This window comes from Homo sapiens, chromosome 4, assembly GCF_000001405.40.
Source record: "Homo sapiens chromosome 4, GRCh38.p14 Primary Assembly".
NCBI lineage: Eukaryota > Metazoa > Chordata > Mammalia > Primates > Hominidae > Homo > Homo sapiens.
The window spans coordinates 4,827,886-4,835,425 of NC_000004.12; the positions used below are offsets into that span (position 1 = coordinate 4,827,886).

Below are 7,540 nucleotides of genomic sequence, written 5' to 3' on the forward strand. Positions count from 1 at the left end.
TGGGAAGAGGGCCATGTGACGATGCGGGCAGAGACTGGAGGGACACATCTGTAAGCACCACCTGTGTTGTTGCCAACCACCAGAAGCTGGAAGAGACAAGGAAGACTCCTCCCCTAGAGCCTTCCTAGGGAGCACAGCCCTGCTGACACCTTGATTTGAGGCATCTGGCCTCTCAAACTATGAAGGGGAACATTTCTGTTGTCCCAAGTCACCCAGTGTGTGGTTATTAACTACAGCAGCCACAGGAAATGTGTACACCATTCATCATGGGCCAGCAGAGCTCCCCGCCCTGCCTGCTGCAGCCTGGCTAGCCCCTTCCAATCCTCAGGAGAGACATCACCCTCCGGGAAGACCCCTGTGGGCCTCCAGCCCCAAGCACTTCTCTTTGTCTCAATGCTGATGACAACCCTGTCATTGCCTGTACCCCTCTGCCTCCCCGCCGGATTATAAGGGTCTCCAGAATGAAGTTCCCACTGCACTCATCCTGGGTGCTCAGCACTGCCTGGCACGTAGTAGTGGTCACCTAAATGTTTGTTCTCCCCCACCATGACCTAGAGTCTAGAGGGCAGACCTCTGCACAGCACCTTTCTAGGGCCTGGGCTCAGTTTTGAGGCCATGACAAAAATGTTTATTTCTGGCATCGGTGGCCTGGAGGTGTAAACACATACCTGGTTGAGACACAGCCATTCCTATCTTGGACTTCAAAATAAACTCATCTCCGTAATTGACAGTCCCTGCACATTATAGGCCCTTATTAAGCCTGGCAAGACCTCTTAAGGGCAGGGAAGGTCACCCCAGGGCATGAAGAGGAGGCTCCCCACTTCCTAGGCAGAGTCCCATCCCCTAAGAAGGAATTCAGCTCCCCCTGCTTCTCCCTCTCCTCCTCCTCCTCTGCCTTCTCTCTTTTCCCTCTCCTCTATCCTCCTCCCCTTCCCTCCTCATTCTCTTTCTCTCCTTATTCTTCTCCTTCTCCCTTTCCTTCTTTCTTCTCTTCTCCTCTTTCTTCTTTTCCTCCTCTACTTACTCCTCCTTTCCTCCTCTCCCCCTCCTCTCTCCTCTCCTTCCTTTTCTCCCTCCTCCAGCCTCTCCTGGCTTACAGGGGACCACCATTATCTATTTACTCCCCGGGAGCTGTGCAGGCATCCCCTGCACAACCAAATCAGCCCATTGCACAGCCCTGTCAATCCTTCTGTCCCAACCTCTTTCGGAGCTTCCTCCCCTCTCCATCCCCACAGCCCTCCCTGTATCACGAAACAGGTTCTCACCTGCTCCTGCTGCTTTCTCACTCCTGATCCAGCCTCTTCATTGAGCCACAGGTGTCTCTGTCTAAGAAAACCTCATACCTCCCCACTACATGATCCCTTCAATGGCTCCCCACTGCCTTTGGGTTAAAGATCTGAGTGTTCACCCTCACCTACAAGCACTTTGGGAAGTGGTTCCTGCCCCTATCTACACTCATCCCTCAAATCCCCAGCCATCTCCAGGTGCCACCCTCATGTCCTCCTTCCTCTCCATCCAGAATTAGTTATGCTGCACAAAGTGCAGGTCTAAACCCCAGGCCTTTAACAGTGCTGTTCCCTCTTCCCTGCATTTTCCCTGTTGATTAAACCCCTGCTTAGCTTTCCAGACCTGGATCAGATGTCTGCCCTTTCCTGAGTCCCTCTTACCCCAGAATTATGCATCCATCCTTGGCATTCCCAGCTCCCTTCGTGGAAGGAGGATGAGGGGTGCAGATCTTGTGGGCCAGCCCCTACAGCTCATTCTACCTTCCAGTCGGACTGCATCTTCCTGGTGTGACAGGGAGAACTTGTGGTGTGCTGACAATGAGGAGTGGCTGACTCCAAGACCCCTGGCCTGTCCTGGCTCATCAAGGCCTTTCCTCATCCTCAAGGGGAATGGGAAAATAGCTGGTTTATCCTTGCATCATCAGAAATTAGGCTAAGCCTGGAACAAAGTGTGTGAGTAAATATTAATTGGATAACTGAGAAAAATAATCAGGAAGATAAAGAACAGACAAAAGATGAAAGAGAGTCAGCAGGGAGGATGGAGAAAAGAAAATTGAGGATGAAGCTATACTCAAAGCTCAAAGCATGCTCCTAAAGGACCCATGAAGATACCCATTTTAGAGATGTGGAAACTGAGGCCCAGAGAAGTCCCGGTAAATTGCCCCAAAATAGCACATCTGTTTGAATCTGAAACCCAAACCCATGTCTGTCTAATTCTTTCAGTTATTCGAGGTCATTGTCATGAACCTCTGCCAAGCCAGGTGCCTCTTCTCTCATTCCTGTGCAATTGAGTTTTCCAATGCTGCTTCTAATTTGCAAATACAGTTTTTATTCCTCATTATAAAAGTTGTATGTGCTCATTTTAGAGAACCAGGAAACTAGAGAAAAGTATTTAAAGCAGCAAATATAATTTCTATTATTCCCATCACTCTAGGACAATCCCTGTTAAAATTTTAATAGTTTCTAGCCTTTTCTATGTGTTTATATTTGCTATATACATGTTTAGATTAGATTTCTAATGCCATTTAAAATTATGCTTTTTTCACTTAAGACCACATCCTCAGCATTTCTCTACATCACTAGAAACTCTAACGCTTTTTAACTTTTTTATTGAGGACTTACTAAGTGTCAAGTCCTGTTCTAAATGCAGGCTTATGTTCACATTTGCTATACAAGTGCACTATCACTTACTTGGCTTTGCCTCTATGGTTAGGCATTTGAGTGGCTTTGATTTTTTACTCTAGCAGTAATTCCATAATAATTTATTTTTGAGACAGGGTCTCACTGTCTCCCAGGCTAGTGATCATGGCTCACTGCAGCCTCAGCCTCCTGGGCTTAGGTGATCCACCCACCTCAGCCTCCCAAGTAGCTGGGACCACAGGCACACACCACCTTGCCTGGCTAATTTTTTTAAAAATTATTTTTTGTAGAGATAGGGTTTCACATGTTGCCCAGGCTGGTCTTGAACTCCTGGGCTCAAGAGATCCTTCCACCTTGGCCTCCCAAATTGCTGGGATTACAGGCATGAACCACCACGCCTGGCCAACAGACTTTTATGGGCAAAAATTTCCACCCATACTTGGATAAGCAATTAAGTTTTAAAAGTTTAAATATTGCTATGGAGGAACTGTGTCAACCCAAAAAATTTGTATGTTGAAGGTGTAACCCCAGATGTGACTATATTTGAAGACAGGGCTCTTAGGAGGTCATTAAGGTTAAATAGGGTGCCACAAGGGTGGAGTCGTGATCTTATGGGACTGGTGTCTTTATAAGAAGAGGAAAGGGCTGGGCGCGGTGGCTCACGCCTGTAATCCCAGCACTTTGGGAGGCCGAGGCGGGCGGATGACGAGGTCAGGAGATCGAGACCATCCTGGCTAACATGGTGAAACCCTGTCTCTACTAAAAAATACAAAAAATTAGCTGAGCCTGGCAGCCGGCGCCTGTAGTCCCAGCTACTAGGGAGGCTGAGGCAGGAGAATGGTGTGAACCCAGGAGGCGGAGCTTGCAGTGAGCCAAGATGGCGCCACTGCACTCCAGAGGAACAGAACAAGATCTGGAGGAAAGGCCATGTATGCACACAGTGAGAAGGCGGCCGTCTGCCAGCCAGGAAGAGAGCCCCACCAGGAGCCAGCCCTGCTGGCATCTTGACCTTGGACTTCTGGCCTCCACAATGGTGAAAAAAAATAAATTTCTGTTGTTTAAATCCCCCAGGCTGTGGAATTTTGTCATGGCAGCCGGAGCTGACAAAGACCAATACCATGCTCATGACTTTGGTTATGGTGAAGGTTTCATGGGTGTTTACATTTGTCAAAACATATCAAATTGTACACTTTAAACACAGATATTTTAGTGTTTTCTATCATATCTCAATGAAGCTGTTTTTAAAGTTAATATCGGTGCTTAGACTGAACTACACCATATTTTATCCTGATAAGCCTCTCCTACCCATTGGAATCTGTGGGGATCTCTGTCGGATTTCACACAAGCTCCTCCTCGTCTGCATCAGTGTTTGCAGGCGGGCTCATGCCTTCAGCCACAGTACACAAGACTGGGCTGCCCACAGGCTCTGCCACTCCCCAGCTCGGTGCCCTTAGGCAATTCCTGCCTGTCTCTGAGCCTCAATTTCCTCATCTGTAAAATGGGGGCAATAACGTTTTCCTCTTGGGTCGCTAGGAGCTGAGACCTGTTAGTCACTTTGGCAGAGAGCTTGGTGTATGAGAAGTGCTTGAAACTGTCTGCTTTTAGAGTATTAATCATGAGGAAATTATGAGGCCCTGTCAAATGCCAAATTAAATACAAGCTGACTAAGCCTTCCACCTTCCCTAAATTGACTGTCAGTTTCCTTAGTGAAAACTTAGACCTGTGTTTTCAAAGCGCAGCCATTGCATCGGAATCACTCAGGAGGCTTGTTCGTTTATTAATTTATTTATTTCAGTAATTTTGGGGGGAACAGGTAGTGTTTGGTTACCTGGAGAAGTTCTTTAGCAGTAATTTCTGGATTTTGGGTTTCAAAATAATGGCATTTGCGGCAACCTGGATGGAATTAGAGACCATTATTTTAAGTGAAGTAACTCGGGAATGGAAAGCCAAACATCGTATGTTCTCTGTCATAAATTGGAGCTAAGCTATGAGGATGCAAAGGCATAAGAATGATACAATAGATTTTGAGGACTCGGGGGAAAGGGTGGGAGGGTGGGAGGGATAAAATACTACACATTAGGTAGAGTGTATACTGCTTGGATGATGAGTGCACCAAAATCTCAGAAATCACTGCTGAAGAACTTCTCCATGTAACCAACCACCACCTGTACATATACCTGTACACCACATTTTCTTTATCCACTCATTGATTGATGAGCACTTGGGCTGGTTCCATATTTTTGCAATTGTGCTGCTACAAACTTGCCTTTACAAGTGTCTTTTTCATATAACGGCTCCTTTTCTTCTGGGTAGATACTTAGGAGTGAGATTGCTGAATCAAATGTTAGATCTACTTTTCGTTCTTTAAGGAACCCAGGGGGCTTATTTAAAATGCAGATTTCCAGTGCTGGAATAGGATTGCTAAAAAAAATTTAAAATTGCAGGTTAAAGAGCTCTGGGCCAGATAGACTGAATTAGGCTCTCTAGAATTGGATCCCTGGAGTGGGCATTATACTACATACCTGGAGAAATTCTAAGACCTACCTCCCTGGGAGGGAGTTTCATTAATTACATTAATGAGAATATCACCAGCTACTGTTTAGGAGCATTTGCCTAGCACATTTATCCAACTCAGGAATAGTGCTAAGAATACAGTGTGAATGATCTCAATAAATCCATGTAACATCCATGTGAGGTGGGTCTCATAGTGTCCCTGTTTTACTGAATATGAAAATGGGGCCCAGACAAGTTGTCACTTGCTGAAAGTCACATTGCAGGGCTGAGTTTCCAATCTGAGTCTGTCTTGTTTTGAAAGGCAGTGCTGTTAATTACTACACTATTTTATGCATCCGTTCATGAGACCAATATTTATTATTTACTAAGTGTCAGGTATTTACTAAGTGTTTAGATTTGAAAAACTGTATTAGATCACAAAAATTCTCCTATTGTGATTACAGCAATATTGTAGGTTACAGGTTAATATACAAAAGTCAATTGCTTTCTTGTATGCCCGCAATGAACAAGTGTAATCTGAAATTAAAAACACAAAATGATTTACATTTGCACCTTCAAAAATGAAATATTGGATATAAATCTAATAAAACATGCATAAGATCTACTTGAGAAGAACTACTCAACTCTGATGAAAGAAATCAAAGAAAAACTAAATAAATGGAGGCATTCCATGTTCATAGATAGGAAGATTCCATTTTGTGAAGATGTAAGTTATTTCAAACTTAATGTGTAGATTCAGAGCAATCTCATTCGAAGCCTCGGCAAGTTCTCTTGTAGCTACTGACAAGCTGATTCTAAAGTTTATATGGAGAGGCAAAAGACTCAGAAATAGCCAACACAATATTGAAGGAAAAGAACAAAGTTGGAGGATTGACACTATTCTACTTTAAGACTTGCTATAAAGCTGTAATAATCAAGAAGGTGTGGCATTGGCAAAAGAATAAACAAATAGAGCAATGTAACAGCATAGAGAGTCCAGAAATGGAGCCACATAAATACAGTCACTGATCTTTGACTAGGGGGAAAGTCAATACAATAAAGATCATCTTTTCAACACATGGTACTGGAACAACCAGACATCCACAAGCAAAAAAAAAAGAAAAAAGAAAAGAAAAGAAAAAGAAAAATTAACTCAAAATGTATCATAAACCTAAATGTAAAATACAAAAGTGTGAACCTCCTAGAAGATAACTTAGGAGAAAACCTAGATGGCCTTGGGTTTGGTGATGACTTTTTAAATATGACACCAAAGGCATGATCCATGAAGTAAATAATTGATAAGCTGGATTTCACTAAAGGTAAATATTTCTTCTCTGCAGATGATAGTCAAGAGAATGAAAACACAAACCACAGACTGGGAGACAATATTTGTAAAAGATATATCTGATTTAAAAGAAACATTATCCCAAAATACAAAGAATCTTAAAAAACTTAACAATAAGAAAACAAACAACCTGATTACAAATGGGCCTAGGGCCTTAACAGACATCTCACTAAAGAAAATACAGAGATGGCAAATAAGCATATGAAAAGATGGTCCACATCATGTGTCATTAGGGAAATGTAAATTTAAACAACAAGGAGATAACATTGTCCATCTATTAGATGGATAAAATTTAGAACACTGAAAAGACCAAATCCTGTAAGAGTGTGGGGTAACGGTGTATTAATCCATTTTCATGCTGGTGATAAAGACATACCTGAGACTAGGTAATTTATAAGGAAAAACAGGTTCAATGGACTCACAGTTCTGTGTGGCTGAGGAGGCCTCACAATTATGGTGGAAGGTGAAAGCCACATCTCATAAGGTGGCAGACAAGAGAAGAGAACTTGTGCAGGGAAACTCCCCTTTATAAAACCATCAGATCTCATGAGACTTATTCACTATCATGAGAATAGCATGGAAAAGACCTGCCCCCATGATTCAGTTATCTCCCACTGGGCCCCTCCCACAACACATGATAATTATGGGAACTAACAATTTGAGATGAGATTTGGGTAGGGACACAGCCAAACCGTCTCAAACAGGAACTCTCATTCATTGTTGGTGGAAATGCAAAATGGTACAGCCATTTGCCAACACAGTTCAGCAGCTTCTTACAAAACTAAACATATCCTAATCACATGATCCAGCAATCATGCTCTTTGGTGTTTACCTAAAGGCGTTGAAAACTTATGTCCATGCAAAACCTGCAAACAGATGTTTATAATAACTTTATTTGTAATTGCTGACACCCAGAAGCAACCATGGGGGTCTTTAATAACTGAATGGATAGATAAACTCTCTGGAACATCCAGGAAATGAAATATTATTCAGCACTAAAAAGAAATGAGCTATCAAGCCACAAAAAAAGACATGAAGAAAACTTATATGCACATTA

General features: G+C 43.1%; 1 annotated feature.

Annotated features, from left to right (window-relative positions):
* Positions 3,457-3,751: an enhancer, noted in NCBI's record as "tiled region #11147; HepG2 Activating DNase matched - State 9:DNaseU, and K562 Activating non-DNase unmatched - State 3:PromF". NCBI's record gives its function as "activates a minimal TATA promoter and a strong SV40 promoter by Sharpr-MPRA in HepG2 and K562 cells {active_cell/tissue: HepG2 | K562}" and the evidence as "EXISTENCE:reporter gene assay evidence [ECO:0000049][PMID:27701403]".